The following is a 21,031-nucleotide window of genomic DNA, read 5'->3' on the forward strand; positions in this document are numbered from 1 at the left end:
TTAAAATTATTCTAAGGAAATAAAGAATCTACAATAGAACTATTTTCAAGGATTTCAGAATCTAAAATAGAAGTATTAAATGATTACTGGTATGACAGATATAAAAAATCTTCCTGATAGTTTGAATACAAAGGTATCAGGAGGTAGAATGAGTGTTGAATTTATGTTGTGGAAAATTGGTCCCAAGTTGGTTTTCCACTTCATCAGAAAGCACTTTTCTCTTGTATGCAAACAGTTAATGAAGCATGCCAACACTGAATTGTTTTAACTAGTGTGAGAAATACTTCACCTTTTTCCTCTCTATTTCTTTTGGGAAGTTTTAATATGAACATAGTGAGACACCCTAAATGTTAGATCCCTAACAGGTAGAATGAGGGAATAAAATAGCTATTCATGATTTAAATATTTTCATTTTCATTTATGAATTATTCTCTAGTGAAAGGTAGCAAAAGATCCATCAATTCTGCTGCACTGTAATAAATGTATGATGAGAATGATCTAGTCATTACATTTTCATCCAGAAGCCTACCTTTAGTTTGAGCATTTTGAAGTAGTGAGCCTTTTGATTTAGTTTTTAAAGCCTCTGGCAGGTGGCAAAATTTTGTTCCAACAACACTCATGTGATTGGGAACAAAGGAATTCTTTCAAAAGGTTTGTGGTTTTACCTTTATTCCACTTTCAAAGAAAATGGGATGATCATTTCTTTCATATTAAAATTAAAATAAACATAAGGGACAGGAAAAACTACACATTACAGGATATAATTGCACTTTAAAAAAGAGCTTTTCATAGATTTATTCAGGCTACATTTTATATTTGTAATAACAAGGTGTTCACCTGCATAACTTTTTACAATATGATAATTTAATCCTTACGTTGCATTTCTTCTATTTGATATTTAAAAATTCCTGTTTTAAATTCATGTATACAGGCTTATTATTGTTTTGTATAAAACATTCTACCTTATATGCTATGATCTCAATAAAGACAGTTAGATTGTACAGGTACTAAGCCATGTAACAATTCTAAAATTTTTTTTCAAAGTAACTCAAGGAAATGCATTTCTGATATCGCTGTTACATGGAAAAAAGTAAGTCTTTTAAAAATACTGTGTTAAATGGGCATGACTTTCAAAGCCAAGTGTACCTCTAATCATCAGCAAATGTGAATAAGAATTGTCTCTTAGGAGCTTGTTTATTTGTGTTTTATTTATTGTTTCCCCTTAAAGACCAGTGTGATAGTAGTCTTTGTGTTTTAATACCACCAGGAAAAATTCTCTGGATGAAAGTGACTACTAAGTTATGGTAAACTTATTTCACTGAGCATATACAAAGATTATCATGAGCAACAGCACACATGTTCCTGTTTCTGGGCTGGGACTTTGTGGAGTGTTTAAAACGTGATAAATTGAAAGATACCAACAAAATTCAGACTGCCTGTCAGCTGTATCAGTTTCAAAGGAACAGTGTCATAAAAAATAAAAGTTTTTAAACAATGAGAAATTTTGAAAGTTACTGCATTTATTCCCTCAGTTTAGGAATGAAGATACTGATGCCCAGAACGCTTAAGTGATATGTATTAATTCACAATCATGATACTCTGTAACAATTTCCATATTAATGAGAAAGATGTAGATTATGAATTAGGCATATTAGTAATAGAGATTACAATGTGTATATATATATATATATAAAATGGGTAAGATACACATCCTCATGAATTTATCCTTAAGAGAGATAATGCTGAATTTGCAAGTGAATCTCTTGCAAAACATTTTTATATACACATCAGAAAAATACTTTTTCTGAACAGTATGTATATTATCATGGATATAGATTTAAACCATGTGGGTAATAATAACATCCAGCATACATATAAACAAATCCACTTACAAAAGACTAATACACATTAAAATTCGTTTCTTCTATGAAAACTATTAACAAGATGTTATTATGTCCATCATGTACCCATTACAAAAGAGAAAATGAATATGTTGGTTTGTTAAGAACATAAGTAGTGTATAAAATAGCATGGATAAAACCTCTGAGCTTCTGACCTTACTAGACTATCATACCAATAGTCTGGTGAAGGTTTCACTCTATATTAGACTTTTAGACAGTATTTATTACCATATGGCTACCAGAAATTCTTAAAAATAAACTTTACTCTCAAGTCCTCAAATATCAATAGATTAACACATCATATTCTGAATGTCTCAACTTATATCAACAGTGAATAATATTCCAAATTTGGAATATGGTATATCTGTTCACTTATAATTAATCCTAAAACTAAATTATTCTAGAATTAATAAGGACTGAAGTATAATGATTCTTCAAAAGGAAAAATGTATGGGCTTGAGTATGGCAAATTCATTCTGTTTTTTATAATAATTATTTCATGCTCTGTGCCAATAGGAGAATAGGAGCTTTTGCAAACTTTACATGCACTGGCCATAACGAATTTCCTGAGTATATACTATAGAATACATGGGCATAGTTTGAGGATATAAAGATAATTGTACCTCTCCTTATGAAGACATGGCATAACTGAGGAAGATAAAACAGGAACTCTACCCAACATGCAAATGGACAAAAGATACATGAATTGATATTTTTGGTTTGTTTGCTTTCTTTTGCTTTGTTCTAAGCCATGAAAGGAGAAAAGTAATAATCCTTCCTTTAAAGCAAGTATAATTTTATAATAAATATATTAAGCAACATCAACAATAGTATAAAATTTATTCTAAACCACCAATAAATATGATAGATTAATATGAAGTTTATTATTATGTGCCTAGTTCTAGAGAACTATGGAGACTAAAAAATATACATAGAAAAAAAAATCCACATCATCCATATCTCTAGTCCAGAAAACAGATCTTTCTCTTTTTGTGACCATACGAAGTCACCGTTGCAATTTATTTTAGTTCATACATATAAACACACAAACATCCGCGTGTGTTTCACAATGATATGTGGATAAGAATATTAAGAATATATGTTGATGTTTTCCTGGTGCTGTGTACATACTATAAACAGGAAACCATGCTTCTTTAGTCTAGATTGAAGACTGAATGAATCAGACTTATGAAATATTAGTCATTTGTTTTAGTAAACACAACTAGTTAAAAAGTTAAAACCCTTAGAAGTTGACTTTTTTTTTTTCTTTGAGATGGAGTTTTGCTCTTGTAGCCCAGGCGCGATCTTGGCTCACTACAACCTCCACTCCCCAGGTTCAAGTGATTCTCCTGCCTCAGCCTCCTGAGTACCTGGGATTACACGTGCTCACCAACACGCCCGGCTAACTTTGTATATTTTTAGTAGAGATGAGATTTCACCATGTTGGTCAGGCTGGTCTCGAACTCCAGACCTCAGGTGATCCACCCGCCTCAGCCTCCCAAAGTGCTGGGATTACAGGCGTGAGCCACTGCGCCCAGCCAGAAGTTGACTTTTTATCTTGATAAATATAAAAAATTTTATTATTAAAAACCCATTCTGGATGGTAGTCAGTAAAAAAAGGAAACATTCTCATTTTTAAAAATATACTTACAGAAACCCTCAAAGGACATCATATATCAGGGAGAAATGAGACATAGTCTTTATAAATTTGAAATGAAGAACCTAATATTCAACTTTGTTCTAAAGTATGGCCAGTTCATTAAGATAAGATACAAAACTGTAAAATAAAAGAGGCAAACTACACTGATAGAAAAAAAAAATGTTCTTGTTTGCAGTGGATGTGGTCATCTTCCTAGAATTTCCAAGTGGGAAAGATGATGCTGGACAACATAATTAGGTTCTATGAACCACTAAATAGAACTAGAATATAATATCTATCTGATCTGATATTAAATGAGAACTGGACACTAAAACAGGGATATCTGTATGTTTTATAGAGCATTGTACAAAAATGTTTATATTCGCTTTACTGAACAGAATTCTACTGTCATACAGAATATGAAAGTTACGATGGTCGTGACTATTTCATTCAAAGTGATGTTTCTACCCCTCGTTCAAGCAAAGAAGTGGGAAAATCTAGTTTTTGTTTTGTTTTGTTTTTAGTAATTTCCTACTATTATATATGAGAACAAACTACAAAGCATCTCATAATTGCCAAGCATAAATCTTAAAGAGAGAGCATCTGCATAAATCACAGAGACATACATATGCACATACATAGGCACTGGCAAAGATTCAATACATTAACATAACACAAAAACATATCATATGAGTATAATAATAATTTCACCAGAATTTTTCCATATATACATTTTCTACATTGATTAGAAATATTCTGAAGTTTTTTGTTGTTTGACATCTCTTTAAGCTTGGTGTTTGGGGTGCAAAGAGTTTACTAACACTTAGTAAACAAGAAGAAAAAGGATCTTAAAAGATCTCTCAACTGTTTCTAGAACTTCTAGTGTTAAATCTACCTAGACAAAGCATACTAAGAAGTGTCTCATGCAGATAAATCTTTGGGGAAGTTTTTAATTCTGAAATATTTTATACGGGCTAATGTATTTTTCTGATCATTTGTTTAACCTAAAATAGGAGAGCAATCTAACCTGATAATCACTCTTGTCTCTCTCTCTGACATTTGAGCCCCATACACACAAAGCATATCACAGTCAGAATGAGATTATGATGCAATGATCTCGTTGTGAACGTTGCATTATGGCTCAGGCAGTGTATAAGCAGTCCCTCGGCACTTGTGCTTACAGCAATTTGAATTTCTCTGGTAGCTCAGTATGATTTATGGCATAATTCAGACTTTCTCTTCATCAAGGGAGAACACTGTCAAGTTCATGAGAGTTTTGAAACTAAGATAAAGAAGGGAAAGGAGAGCATTTGGAATAAACAGGAATTTGCGGTTTGTTATAATTTTAGATTTTAAAACTGAATTGGTTGCAAAATTATCTTTGACAGTTGTATTCAATATCATCTTGTGTACTGAATTAAAAAAATGGTGTTTACTAATGAATCGTCCATGGACTTATTCAGCCTTCAATTCACATGCAAAACACCTGTTTGAAGAATAAGTGTTAAGGCTTTAGTATTAATAGCGGAATAGATCTTCAACAGGGATTCATGTAAAATTCTGCTGTTTATCTTTTTTGAAACTTCTGTTCTGGCAAACAGGTGGTTTCTTATACCTTCCGTATTTCATTTCCTCATGCACAGCTGTGTTAGAAAATGTTTGATTTTATGAACCACATGCCAGACTTGGCAATATTTTTATAAAGGGCAGGAAAAAGCAAATTGTATTGCTTCATTTATTTTTTCTATACCAGCAATGTAAATTTTCAGATTTAATATTACATGCTTTTTTCGTAGTCAACTTTTGTAATATAAGCAGCTATTTCTCCAGAAATATGGACAATGGTATGAATTCATCTCTAAATTCACATGCAAAATAAAACACTGCTGATGAAAGCTTTTTTGCCTCCTTTTTATTATTATTCATAAAATTCCCAAGATGTGCATGGTGTTTTATAGAGCAAATAAAAAGACAAGGTCCCTGCCACAAAGGGTTTATAGTATAATCCAATACTATGTAAAAGAGCTCAGATACAGAGAATACATATTATTTGAGGGACAATCGTATGAGGATGAATAAAAAGGTATTAAACAAGGATATAACATCACAAAAGATATTTTTGTTGTTATAAGTTTAGGGGAATTTGTTGGGCAAGGGTAAGAACATGGAAAGTGATACATAACAAAGTTGATAGCATACCGATCCAAATTTTATTTTACATTCTCCATAGTGTTATGAGTTATGGCCACAGAAATCTCAACGCTGTATATATATTATGCTCCTGAAATGCTATAGTAGAATCCTTTCTCCTCACTCCATAATATGGAGGTTAATTTGAGTGACTTAAAGATACCAATTCCTTATGTTATATTATATTATACAATAATGTAATTATATAAACTGAGAACTTTCCATTCCAAACGGCTGTAATCAACCAAATTAATACAGTAAGACACAAAATGTTTACCTTATGTCATCAAGGTCAACAAGATGGATGCTGGCAAAACTAAACTAGAACTCAAATTTCTAGATTTCTAATTTAATGTTCTTAAAAAAAAAGATTAGACCTTATTTTCCCTACCTAATAACCTGGAGTAAACACCAAAGTGGGAGTCCAAACAGTAGACCCTGCCTTCATTACACGACCTTAAAAGTCACATAATGTCAAGCAAAAAACGATCTTCTCTGGGATTCAAGTTACTCATCTGTAAAGTGGAAATGCCAACAATATTAACGTTTTATGTTCCAGATTAAATGAAAAGAATAAGTAAATGTAGACGTGCATTGTACAAGAAAATGAGATTATAACACCCTACATAGTAAAACTCTGGAATGCTGACATTGAGCAAAATGCAGCTTAAAATGAAGGAAATATTCTATTGGAAAAGCATCTAGAGGAATTCCATGAATAAGACAGCCTGTAGTAACAAAAATAATGTATACAAAAGCATTCCTGCTTAGTGAGTACTCATTCATTAAGAATTCATTCAGGACTATTTGTTGAATAATTGACTGATAGTGCATGCCAGTCAATGTGGCCAGGCCTGCCCTGCCCTCAGCAAGCTGATGGTCTCAGGAAGGACGATGGTTATGAAGCAAACAGGCTTGCAAATAAAGATGTTATTATAGATTGTGCAAAGTGCAACAGAAAGAACAGGGTGATATAGGATGGAGCAGACTTGAAGAACTGATTTTAATTTTAGCATTCGAGGAAAGACATTTAAGCAGAGACTGGAAAATGAGTAGGAATTCCAAAATTTAAGAACAAAGAGAACAGAGATCCACTGGCCAGTTTTTAAGAACATCTGCAGAAAGAAAGGACGTAGTCTGTTTGAGAAACTGGAGAAATGCCAGTGTGGCAGGAAGAATGAAAAGGGGAAGAATAACCCAAGAGTTTTGAGAGAGGAGGTGAGGAGCATTCCACTTTATGCAGAGTCTTTTCAGGCTATGTTAAGGAAGTTGAATTTTATTATCAGTGCAATGAAACGCCATTGAAAGATTTTTTAAAAGGAAATCTTATGAATGAATTTATGCCTCATAATCATCACTGTAGCTGTTGCAAGGCGAGAGGATTTAAAAAGACAAGGAGTGAAAACAGGAAGTCTGGTTAAGGTTACTGCAGTGGCCAACGTGGGGAGTGCTGATAATTTGAGTTATCGCACTGGCAATGGATGCAGTGCAAAGAGGAATTTGAATCCTAGATATGGTTTGGAGGAAGAATAAACAGATTACACATGTTAAGGATGAAACCTAATTTTCTAGATTGACTGTCTGAGGTTGTTGTGGGCTTTTGTGGTTGTTTTTGAGAGAGGGTCTCCCTCTGTCACCCAGTCTGGAGTGCAGTGGTGTGATCATGGCTCACTGCTGCAGCCTGGACCTCCTGGGCTCACACAATTCTATCTCGACCTCCCGAGTTGCTGGGACCACAGGTGTGTGCCACCATGCCCAGCTAATTTTTGTATTTTTTATAGAGATGGGATTTCACCATGTTGCCCAGGCTGGGCTCCTGCCTTGGCTTCCAAAAAGTACCGGGATTACAGACATGAGCCACCACGCCCAGCATCTGAGTTTGTTTGTTTGTTCGTTTGTTTTCTTAAAGATTGCTATGTACTGAGCTTAAGGAAGACTGACCAAAGTCAGAGTCCATGCAGAGGCATAAGATTGTATTTATTTATAATCCATTTTGCCTGGAACTATATGAAGGTTCTTGTTATGCATCTTTTAATGAAGAGAATGGTTTAAATCATCATGGAGGGGAGAGTATATTACCACTAACTATAGAATTTAACCATTGGACTGCATAATTTTATGCAGAATGAAAACGAGGAGAATTCCATTGGTTTTGTCTATCCAGAATTCACGGGTAGTTGACCTGCTTTCATACACATTAATCCAATAAATATTATTATTCTGCAAGAGTAGTTTCAAGAGAATGGATGTAGGAATGGATAACACAGAAACTATTTACAGAATCCTGAGAAATAGCTTAACTTGATATAATGTCCAAGAAATTATGCACATGGAGGAAAAAAAACCCAAATTTCAGTTACTATTAAACACACATATATGATGGGGAAAAGTGACACCAAGGCTAAGGATAAACATTAAGACATCATTAATATAAAAATGCCAAAACTAGGGCAGCTCATGCCTGGCAATGGTTTGTGCCAGTAATCCTAGCACTTTGGGAGGCCAAGGCAGGAGGATCACTTGAGCCCAGGGGTCCCAGATCATCCTGGGGAACACAGTGAGACTCCATCTCTACAAAAAATAAAAACATTAGCCAGGTGTGATGGTGCATGCCTGTAGTCCCAGCTACTCTGGAGGCTAAGGCAGGAGGATTACTTGAGCTCAGCAGGTCAAAGTTGCAGTGAGCCGTGATTGCACCATTGCACCCCAGCCTGGGTGACAAACTAAAACTCTATCTCAAAAAAAAAAAAAAAAAAAAGCCACAAATGTAACAAAATCCTCTCCAAATACAAGAAATCATTTGAATCTATCAGTTTTTTTTTTAAAAAAAGATAACTAAGTCTTCTGAAGATAACGTATAAGTAAGGTATCTGTTTCTAACTAAAATCATGTAACATAAATCATAAAAGTAAATGTAAAAATTTCCATATTTATATCCCAGGAAATAATCAAAATTTATATTTTAAGATTATCCCATGTTTATGGTAAACCTAAAGAAGCTGTAAAACTTAAACTATAAAAGCTTATGTTCTATTGTTGTAGGCCTACATGTAAAGAAGTCATTATTTAATGTTAAAGTATAAATAAAATACAACTTCTATTTAAAAGTGTCAAACTTCTTTTCAATTCATAAGTGTAGAAATAATTTAAACCATTTTTAGGCGTTATTTTATCTATCAATAGTAATTAACACAGTCTTAATCTGGCTAATGTTAATGACCACTGTTCTTCGGTAAATCCCAGTTAAACCAAGCTTATTAAGGGCTAATTAAAGGAAGTCTTATGTGCACTGAATAAAGTAATGTCTGTGTTTAGAGCTGGAGTACATATTTTGTCTGATAACATAAAATGAGACAAAACTTTTCAATTAAAGTTTACTGGCTGATTATTGATTTATTTTTAAAAATATGCAGATGAAATAACTGACAACTTTCCTCTTCCTGTGTGCCCGTACTTTTTAAAAAGTGTAGCAATGTAATCTGAATCTTGTAGCATATTTCCTGAGCTTGACACAGGCTCAGAGACTGCAGTAAATAATCCATAAGACACTCTTTGGATAAATATTCAGTCATGATCAACTAATGAAGATCTTGGATAAGAAATGAATGTTGAGGGCATGTAGAGGAGGCAATATTCTATATGATTTGAACTAACATTGAGACTCTGGGAATACTGGAAAGTCTTAGCTTTTTAGAAGACATCTATGAATGTTCATGTGTGTGTGTGTATGTACACCTTTATTATTTTACTTCTATTACCTACTTAAGAAATTTTAGAATAGTGATTGCAGTGTATCAAGCAGTGTTCAGAGAACTAATTTAACCCAAATAATCCCCAAAGAGCCCTATGTAATATTTCAAATTGTTATACCTATTATACAGATGAGGAAACTGAGATTCATAGAGGCTAAGTAAGAAGGCAAAAATGTCCTAACAATGGCAAAAACAAACAAACAAACAAAAAAGTCATGTTTTACACCAAAACCACATGGCACCAGATTTTGTATTTTTAATGCTGAACCACAAACATTCTGTTGTTTCCCAATTTTCACTTCCATGTTTTGGCTCTCTCTCTCCTCCCCCTTACTTCCAAAGATTGCTTTGGGGAGACTAGAGGTAGATATTACAGAGTATTAAGAAACTGGAGCTGTGTGAGGATGAACAGAAAAGGAAATGATGCATGCATGAACAGCTGGAGGCATGAAGGACAGGTATGCATGCATCTTGGAATTTTAGGTCAAACCTGTCTATACTGGAACAGTATTGTAGCCTAAGAAATGAAAGTTATGTCCAATTTCATTATGTGCAGGAGTTTTTGCTTATTTTGTTTTTCTCTAAATGAGAAAAGAAGATCAGGTGTGGTGGCTCACATCAGTAATCCCAACAATTTGGGAGTCCAAGAGGGGAGGATCGTTTGAGGCCAGGAGTTCCAGGCTAACCTGGGCAACAATGTCTCTACAAGAAAAAGAAAAATAGCCAGGTGTGGTGGCATATGCCTGTAGTCTTATTTACTTGGGAGGCTGAGGCAGGAGGATCATGTGAGCCCAGGGGTTGAGGCTGCAGTGAACTATGGTTCCTGCCACTGCACTCCAGCCTGAATGACAGAGTGAGATCCTGTCTCTAAAATGAACAAATGAGAAAAGAATAGGGTATTGGATTCAGAATAGTGTAAAAGTGGGAATATCTATATATATACATAGAAAGAGAGAGAGAGAGAGAATTATGACATTTAAATATTTGTTTCTAATGCAGTTTCGGGGTTCAATTTTTTTTTTTTTTTTTCTGAGATGGAGTTTCGCTCTTGTTGCCCAGGCTGGAGTGCAATGGCGCGATCTTGGCTCACTGCAACCTCCACCTCCCAGGTTCAAGTGATTCTCCTGCCTCAGCCTCCCGAGTAGCTGGGATTACAGGTGCCCACCATCACGCCCGGCTTTATTAGAGACAGGGTTTCACCATGCTGGCCAGGCTGATCTCGAACTCCAGACCTCAGGTGATCTACCTGCCTCGGCTTCCCAAAGTGCTGGGATTACAGGCTTGAGCCACTCTGCCCAGCAGGGTCAAATTTTTTTACAAAACATGTGAATTTGGTATTGAGGGACATTTGCATGCAGACCTATTTCTTAGAACTCATGCTGGATTATAGATGGTTTTGACAAATTAGGGAATACTGTCTACTGTATTACCTGTTTTTATCAATTTATTTCTTTTTTATTAATTGTTTTTGTCACCTTTATTTCTCAACATTCATGATTTACAGCCAACTAATCAGAATTCCTGGTTATTGACTAAATGTAATACTGCCTGCACTGCATGAGTTTATGATACAGAAATTTCAAACCACAAATCACTCCAGATTCCTGGAGGAATAAGTAGATGTTATACAATTATGCTGCAGTCTTCATCTCAAAAAAGAAATGCTTATGAATAAGTGATTCATTCTGGCTGAACATACTTTGAAATATCACATTATTGCCCTGAATCACACCTGTGAAAAAGCAAATAGGCTAAAACCAAAGACCCGGAAGAATAAAATAGTTAACAACATTTACAACTACTCTATGACCTCTTTCAAAGAAACACCACATTACAAAATTAATATTAGAAAGTACAGATATAAATAAAGCTTGTATATTCATTTTCTGTGTAAATTGAGCTCTTTTCACTCACGGACGTAGGCTTGGCATCAATCATGGGGCTATATATTCAAAAGCAATCAATAAAAAAAGTACAGGAACTGACAAACAACTAGTCAACAGAATCATTTTTAAAAAAAATACTTAGCAGTAGCCTTTTAAAATAATTTCTGCGTTCAATGTTACTTGTTTTGGTCTGCTCACTTGTTAAAATAAAATGGATGTCATATCCATTAACATTTTAGCTGGCTGTGGAAGTTTTTCACACCTACAGTCAACCGTAAGTGACTATGATATTAATATATCTAAAATGCATCCTCTTTTTGTCAGCTTTACTAAACAAGGTTTGGAAGGGCAAGGAGGAAATAAAATATGTAATTTCACAAAATATAAAGATATACCCCTTGCTCATCCATAACTTTCTTGTTCAGAATTTTTCCCTGGTTGGAAAAAGTGAAGCCATTTCTTATATTGAAGTGATCATTTTGAGAATTTATGTCTTTAAAAAGATAACATCTGTGTGGGGGGTTCAATATCAACATGGATTAAGCCAATTATAGGACACATCTTTCTTAGTTGATAGAAAAACTCAGAAACTGCTGAGTTATGCTTTGTGGTAAACATTTTGGAATGTTGCCAAAGCTGTTATAAACATTTCTGAGCTCACTTTTCCAGGGAACTCTTTTAAAAATCAATTAGAAGTTAAAGTCTTTCAATGCTAGTGTTTCAAAATGTCAAGCTTGTATTACTTTTTTCCTTGTTGTGCATCAATGGCAATATTTCAAAACCTGCATATTAAATTGATTATATTCTATAATTAAGCTATTAAATGAAGTAGAATGTGCAAGTGTACTAAAATCCACACTACAGCAGAATTAGGGTTTTTTTTTAAGAAAAATAAACCTAATTACATAAAAACTGGGGAAGGCACGAGGTAAAAATAATGTATAAATGACTGCTCAGATTTTATTTTAAAAGCCTACTCAAGTATAATTGTTGATTTTAAAAAATACTTTTTAATATTACAGGTCAATGGGTTAAAATAATAAATGCTTTATTGATGATCCCTGAATCAGGAATTTTAGAAAGTATTCTAGGGACAATGGCAGAGGATCAATTATGTGTCTAAATTTACAAAACCAAGGTCTATTCAATAATTTACTGCACTTAAGATTACAATGTATTTATATTTAAAATACATAAGATGAATGCACATGAATACCTTATATGCATTTTTTTTTGCATAGGTGTGAATACATATTTAAATGTTTTCTAGAAAGGCTATATTGTCAAAATTTTTAAAGGTAGTGCTGAAAACATTTTATGCACTAAAAATAATCTAATTCTGTTTTATATATATATGTGTGTATATATATATATGGTGACATATAAATTTATATATTTTAGAAAAAGTAAGATCTAAATCTGTAACTATAAAAAAGTATGCTCCCTTACTCAACAAATGAACCACAAATGTACTGCAGAGAGCAAAGGATTAAAATTCCTCATGTATGTGTAACAAACACATTGATATTAATTGGTTTGTCCTTTCAAGTTGTGTTTATCTCTTCATTTCCATCACAGTTTCAAAGGTCACTCTGTTCCATTTATAAATCCAATATGACAGAGATTAGTAAAAGCAAAAAGCAACAACTAAATGAGTACATCATCATGCAATCACACATCTCACAATTCATTTATCCAATTAATAAAAAATACCATCAAATGCTTCATGGTGGGTTTTTTCAAAGCATCAAATGGTTCATGTCAAGATAACTTAATCGTCAACATTTAGGTTCAACAGCAGAGTAAATGTAGAGAAATTGAAATTGTACTTCAGTGAAAAGACAGTAGATATATCTATATTTTCCCAAAATAAAATAATTAAGAAAACAGATTACAAAAATGAATATATTCAGTAAATTCAGTTTATATTTGTATTAAGTTAATGAGAGATTCTTGGAAGCTGAAATGTAGGAGGGATTCAATTATGTGGGGTTTGTGTATGAGTGTCTAGCTAAGTTATGTAATTGCTAAGGTCATATATTATCAAGTAAGGATTCTAAACAATAGAAAACAGTGCCAATATGTACTAATAGAAATAGGAAATTGTATAATATTTACACTCATTTTGATACATGTATTTTAATATATTCTAGACGATAGCTTTTTCTCTTGATATAGACATAGGCTTGGACAGTGGCAGGTATGTGAAAGTACCAGAAGAAACTAAACATGTGCCTGTGTGTGTTTTTAAAACTGGTAACTGTAGGAGGCTGAGATTCAGATTGCTAAAGAAAATAATTTACAAACTAATTTGACCACCTTGATAAGATGTTTAACTTTAATATTTTTATGTAAAGTGAATATCAGACTTATATTATCTGATAGACCCATTGTTTTAATAAGGCCATTTCCAAAAATATAGTTAGGATATGCAAATGTGAAGCATGAGCGAGCAAAAACAGAAAGATACAAGCAAAAGCAAGATAATCTAGAAGTCCTTGTGACACAAGTTCAGCACTTAAACTATAGAGAGATGAAGAAACACTAAACTATTTCCAAAAAGCAGACTAAAACACATAGAACTGATTAACAGATTATTTATAAATAATAAAGACTATTTCTCCCAAAAACAAACATGAGTAAAATGAAAACTATTGAAATTGATTTTGAAAATCTATCTTTTTTTTCCCCTCAGCTCTATTATATGGATCTGTCTTCTGAACATAATAGGGTCATAGAATCTGAAAGCAGAAGAAAATTTCTAAGGCCACTGGATTTTCAAGTAGGCTTGTCACTCAGATGGCATACTGCCTGAGTATAAATTATTAATCAGCACATTATATTAAATAATGTCATAACACTTTTACATTTGTTTATTAATTTACATATACTTACATAATTTTGTGTGTTCAGTGTGATGTTTTGAACTTCAGCTATCATTTTAAGTTAAATATGCTTTCTGAAAAAAATCTAAGTAAAGATATAAATATTAAATGTTTTATGAGGATGATGATGTCTTTCTCAGATATCTTAAAATGTAGTATCTTCCAGTATGAAACATATATTTTCTCCAAAGATCATAATCTATACTGATGTAGAAGTAAAATCATAGATGAATTATTTATTTTTTTTAAAGTTTTACTTAGAAAAGTGAAACATTTTCCTGAGAATTCCTGAAATGCTGCAATTATAGATGAACTCAATTGATAAAAAGACTTAAATATGTGCCATAAAGCCATGCATGAGGTAGATAAAAATGCAAAGTACACATTTTCTTATAATTTTTAAACTTTTAAACACACATATGTTATCTATGTGCATATATATGTTGTATATATTACATATATAATGTATATAACTGGACACACAAACACACACACACACTTCTTTGTCGCTATGCAGCTATTACTCCCAGCCTACAAATGACCCCAAGGAAGTAAGTACACTACACTTTTTGGCCGAACAATTTATCAACAGCTTGAAGTGACAGGAATGGTGATTCAATCCTGCATCCCCACATATCAGATATAGGCCACATTCTTTAGTCTGCAGAACCAAAAAGGGAAAAAGTCCCTGTCGCATTTGCCCTTTCATAGAGATGGAAATATTATTAGAAAGGACATAAACAGACTAATTAAATCACAGCAGTATGGCTGGGATGACAGCTGGTACAGCGTGTGACTGAGAAGATCCATATCTGTGAGCAGGAGGTACTTCACTTCCAATCCATTCGCTATTAGGTGCTTTCAAGCTTGCTGTGCAGACATTAAATAATAACATATCATTTCCAAGACTAAAACGATGTAAAGAAATAAAAAAGGCTTTCTAACCAAGAAATCTTTTGTGCAACATAGAAAAAAATCATTTACCACTCAGTTCTGCTTTTGAGATAAAGATGTAATAATGCCATTACCTTTCATCAGCAGGATCCTTGAAAATCAACACTCTTTGCTTATCATGCTGTGAAATACAAATAGAGCTAAAGGCATGGTCTGCGAGGCACTGCTGCAGCGATATTAACTAACAGATCTGCCCTTTGTGAAGGAAACCGTATCCGTTTCATTAGTGCAGACTCTAATTCAAAACTGTTGAAAATGAACTGCACATACTGTTTTAATAACAACATTCCTAATCATTATCAAACTGGTAATTCTCTCAGCACTGAATGTAAGGGTCTGTGTTTCCATTATGACCTGCTGTTAAAGAAAACCATATTTAAATCCTCCGTTCTTTCCTATCTTCCAAATTATCTGGGTTCATTTAGTGGGGATGGGGCATAAAGAGCACGCAAAACTATGTGTGCTACATTATTTCATCTTAATGAATTGACATTTTTAGACATTTATGTCAACTACTATATTATTTATTTATTATCGCTTAGTTTCACTATTTTATATTAGATTTCACATGTCATGATTGATACAAATGGTTTTGTATAATTTGGGAATATTTGTACAACTGAGAGATGAATCACGGTCACGTGAATGTGAAATACTAGGTCTGGTGACAGGTGCATTGGGCTCAGAGTTATAAGCTTGTGTGCACACATTCAAAACAATATTGGACTACAAACACCCTAGTAAAATCTCTAAACATATATTTTTAATATCAAGACATTATGAGATATTTAAAAATATGTATTAGCAAACATTATATTTTATAAAACAAAGTTAAATATTTATTTTAATCCCTCATCATCAATCATATGAAATTCAAATATAAAACAATCGAGTATCATATTAATGAAGAAAAAAAGAATTGTCTGATCTTAAACAAATTGAATATGACCTGGGGTTATTTTACACTGAAATATGTGGTTTCTTTTTACTTTCTTTACAAACTTTACGTAAACAGTATAGCATGTTTTTGTAGGTTGATAATTACCATTTCCAGGACTTTCCATGATGAAAACATATTCATCCTCCTGGAATGTAATGGAGTCTACCACATAACATATTCATTAGGATATATCCTATATATATGATACATCCTATATACATCCTTATATTTTATAATTACATGAGGATATAGTGTCAAATAAAATCACTTAACTTTTATTTCCTAATATGATATGCTTGAATTAACAGGTTTACTCTATTATCTAGTCATTAGTTAGAATTAGCAATATTGAAATCAAAACAAAAACATTGCATAATATTTTTGAATTATGTTCTCCAACTGTCCATATAAGTAAAAAAAAGTTTTCATGAAGTGGAATAGACATCACATTCAAAAATAAAAATATTTTCTGCCTTCTGCTTATCTGCATCAAAAATACATTTAATAGTTTATATAGGAAACTAGTACATGTTATAAATCATGCTGTAATGATTTTATTACATATAGAAATGGATTTAAGAATATGTGTTCAAATATTTCAAAGTGAAAAATGATTTTTTTAATATAGAAATGTATTTTTCCACAGTCACCTGTTGCCATCATTAATGTTTCTATTCCTTTACATGAACAATAAAGATCAAAAACAAATTATGAGAGAAAATGCAGAATAATGCTATCCAATTTCTAGAAAATAATGAAAAAGAGCTTCATAAAATGATCAGTTATTAATATACTCATATGACATTTTAAAATAATCTAATTTAAGCTATATTTTTTAATATTCATAATTTTTCCACAATAACATAGCAATGTTAACTCTTATTTAGCCTCTTCCAAACCCTAATGAAAAGGATACATAGTACCAAGGTAGAAAAAGTGGCATCATCCTTTTTTTATATTCAAAATAAATACTGTCAATACTTATCCATCATATAATGCTTGCATAATATGTAAATAGATGTTATAGTATACTTAAGGATGCCTTGTTTTGGAACATGTGGTTACTTCTGATTTTTTATTTTAAAAATTACTGTCAAAAATATCTTTTTGCCCTTTATCTTTTATTGAGGTTTCAAAAATCAAAGAATTTTAGAGCCAACAGAGAAATTAGGCAAAAATTCCTTATTTATTAAATAAAAAAGACGAGCAGTTAAGTGACTTATCTAAGTAGTTAAGTTATTTATTAACTACATTATTACTGGAAGCTAAATCTTCTGACTTATTTTGCTCTCTGCTCCCCTACCTGAGTTTTTGGCTGTGTCTAGAAGGACTTACTTGGTCACACAATAACATATTCACATTTTACACAATGATGTTTTGATAATCTTGTATTAAATTAGCCATTTATCCTTTAGATTTTCACATTAGACTCTAATTCAAAGCTGTTGAAAGTGAAGTGCACATACTGTTTTAATAACAACATTCCTAATCATTGTCAAACTGGTAATTCTCTATCTTGTTTAAAATACATAATGAAGAAAAATTGCCATAAATAGTAAATATTTAAAAATGCATTTAAATTGATGGAATAGTAGCTTAGTACATTTTTTGTCTTTTATTATTGGGGTAAGCAATTTTGTGTAAAAATTTCAGGATATGAAGATATCTTTTGCATAGGGGATGATATTAACCATATGGCCTATTCTTAATCAATTGAATTACAAACCATGGTGGTTCCTATACTTTTAAGAGATGCTTATGTGGTCTTCCATTAAAATATCCACTAATGGGACATTTGTGAAAAGATTTATATTTGAACATACTTTCTTGACCACATGTGAAGCTACAGAGAGCAAATTCATTAATTAAACTACTTATATATTAATTGACAGCTATCAGTTCTAAAATATTTCTCATTTCATGTGTCAGAATCTTTCTGGACTTTTAGGGTAGTCTTGTATATGCTCCACGTTTACAAGACTGGCTGTTAATATTGTTAAGTTTTACTCACCAGGCAGGAAGAAAGATCTTAAAAATCATTGTTAGGCAGAAAAACATTCTAGTTACCAAAACAAACAAACAAACAAACAAAAAAACTTTCTACATTTAATCTGTTAAACAATAGCAAATTTCTTGTGAATCAGTGATACTGTAATTGAACTGGAGACATTTTTAGAGCAAGCTTGCTTTGGCTTTTTCACCCTCCGATTTGGAATCTGCTCACAGTACTGCCAGCTTAACCAAAAAGGATTAACTCTCATATCCAACTGAGAACACAGATAATTCTCAGTAATTGGTAAAAAATGAAGATGAATGGGGCTGAGAGATAAGGAGCAATTAGCTCATCAGCAGTTACAGCTGTGCACTCAATCCGGCTCCATCTCTTGAGTCTCGGCCCCTTTTAAAGAACCTAAGCAGAATAAGCATAGGACACCCCCTCCCTGAAAAAATTGCTATACCTGCCCATCATTTCTCTAGTCTTCCATTTTATTTCCTTACTATACAAAGACACCTGTCATAGCATGCTATGTAAATTACTACCTCTCTCAGGACCTATGTCTAAAGCCAATCTTCTTTTTAAACTTTTTTTTTATAACAGAAACCAAATGACTACTGTAGACACTCTTAAATTCCCTGTCAATCGTTTCATTATAGCAGCATCATCTGTTTGAAAATATAAGCAATTCCCTCATCTAATTATAGGAAGGATTTGAGGTTCATTAACATTGCCAAGGCAGAGAATCCAATGTGCAATTGCAGAGCTCTGCTTGGTGGCCTGCGTTCTCAGTTTCCTTTTATTTGCTTTCTCAAGGTCTCCAAGAGTTTTTCCTGAAATCATAAAATTAATCTTTTCCTTCCAAATAGACACATGTGTTAGAAGAAAGGAAATGACTCCAGCATAAACTATTTTGTTTCTGCAGGAATGGTTAAAATTAAAGAAAGATAAGAGTAGGGTGAGCTGAAGAAGATAATTTTATCTCTTTAACTGCCTGGCTTTTTTTCCCTTCATATATTTGTTTTGTTTTATTGGTTGAGGAATAGAAGAACTAAGGAGTGATAAATACCCTTGAAGGTGACGGCTTTATTCTCAAACTCAAGTCCTTAATCTTACTTGAAACTTCTACATTCTTGTAACGATTACAAGTTTGAGAAAATGAAAAACAATCATATGTTTTGAGCATGTGAAATGTGTTCAGGTTTGTTGATCAGGGCATTAGTGTACCCTTGCCTATGTTCCACAATGTTCAGAAAGAGAAAATACTAAAGTCTTACAAGTACTTCCCTTCCTTAAAGAAATTACAGCAGTTAGAAGGTTATGACTATGGTTTAAACAATGAGATTTTCTTGGGACATCTGTTTTGAGATTACATTTTGAATAGATATGAACTCATTTCCTACTAAGCAAGCAATCTACTATTGTTGATAGCTGTTTACCAGTTCTATGAGTCAGATATTAGCTAGTGGCAAAGGTCCCTCTTAAATCCTCCAAGTATTTTTTAAACTGTATACATAGTGTTTTCCTTAAATAAAATGTTAAGAGAAGTAAAAATGCAGTCTTTTCCTGCCTCTTGGTAAATTATACTCCACAAAATGTTGCACTTGGGAATAATATTTAATGTATTTATCTTTAAAGAGTTACTTCCTTTGTTGTCATTAAGGAAGGGAGTAAGATACTAGGTTTAGCAAGTATTTAAATAACATAGAAACGATTAAGAGATGCTCACTATGTCAATATTTATATACTATTTAAAAACTAGAAGTAAAATTAAGTTTCCTTTATTTAGATTAAACTGATTGTGATTAATTTAGTATTCTCAAAAGTGTGCATAATGCCAAAAAAAGGATAAACAGATTAAAACATAGCTATAGACACTATCAAATTGACCTTGGGTTCACCGGTTTTAAATTCCGCCTTTGCATTATCCCAGTCCCAATTTCCAAGCAGCATTTTTTAAGCTGGTTATGTAGATCAGTCCTTAAAGCAAAAAAAATAGCAACTTATCTGGCCTGTATGTTGTGGATAGTGTTGCCACTAAAAAGAATCCAGGACATTTTTCCTTCTTATCTGCAATGTAGCTCATATCAGCCAACCTGTCACAAGATAGTACTTGATATAAACAAGAGATTGCAAAGACATCTCAGTAATCAATATCAGGATGGCTACAGTATGGAAACCCCAACCAGTGCATATCATCTGTCTCAGCATCTATTTCTATGGCCAAATGAAGCATTAATTCAAATCATAAATCTATGGTGATTTAAATCTGGGAATGAGCACCTGCCTGCTTTAATGATTTATTTTGTACATTTCAGTAAGCAGGAGATTTGTCCATATGAACTGACAGGTCACCTTCAGATGCCAAGAGCAGACTGTTTATCACCATGCAGACTAGCATCTCATCTTAGCAAGTAAATATTAAACTAAAAGAATCCAATTGATTGTGGATGAGGGAGAATGGCGACATGGCCATATATTTTACTCAGTGTGCTGATGCCTCACTCGGATCTATCCTCAGGTGCTCACTTCCTCCTAAAGTGATCATTTTGTTGGAAAGATATGAGCTCAAGGTTACCATGTAAAATTGGGATATAAAATAATTATTCACCATTGTCAAAGCTTTCTTTAAACATCTTTTTCTGGCTAATTTCTAAGGTTCCTATTATGAACCGGGAAGGGTTGTGTGATACAAATTTTTCCTGTCGTCTTACCCAGCAAATCAAACCAAACAAAGCAAAAACATAATCTGTTATCTGGGGCTTTAAGGATTCATTTACAATCAAGGAAAAAAACAACGCTCTTACAAAAAAAAAAAAAAAAAGCCTAAAATGTTTAACAGAACTTATGAGCTAGATGAGTGCAGGAGAAAACAAGAGCCTTGAATT

General features: G+C 32.9%; 1 protein-coding gene across 7 annotated transcripts in view, besides 1 other annotated feature; it reads right to left on the reverse strand.

Moving 5' to 3' along the window:
* The window catches only part of DACH1 (dachshund family transcription factor 1), a 429,239-nt gene that overhangs the window by 168,420 nt on the left and 239,788 nt on the right, over positions 1 to 21,031 (reverse strand). Inside the window, exon 4 of one of the 7 annotated variants that reach the window (XM_011534941.3) lies at positions 16,578 to 20,239. The exons of the other annotated variants lie outside the window; for them this stretch is intronic. Coding sequence (XP_011533243.1) covers positions 20,226 to 20,239 — 14 coding nt within the window. The 3' untranslated portion in view covers positions 16,578 to 20,225. Of the gene's footprint in view, positions 1 to 16,577; positions 20,240 to 21,031 lie in introns of those variants that run through there. 7 annotated transcript variants of the gene reach the window in all.
* Positions 14,752 to 15,046: a silencer, noted in NCBI's record as "tiled region #6884; HepG2 Repressive non-DNase unmatched - State 24:Quies". NCBI's record gives its function as "represses a minimal TATA promoter and a strong SV40 promoter by Sharpr-MPRA in HepG2 cells {active_cell/tissue: HepG2}" and the evidence as "EXISTENCE:reporter gene assay evidence [ECO:0000049][PMID:27701403]".

This window comes from Homo sapiens, chromosome 13 (assembly GCF_000001405.40).
Source record: "Homo sapiens chromosome 13, GRCh38.p14 Primary Assembly".
In the NCBI taxonomy this organism is placed as follows: Eukaryota; Metazoa; Chordata; class Mammalia; order Primates; family Hominidae; genus Homo; species Homo sapiens.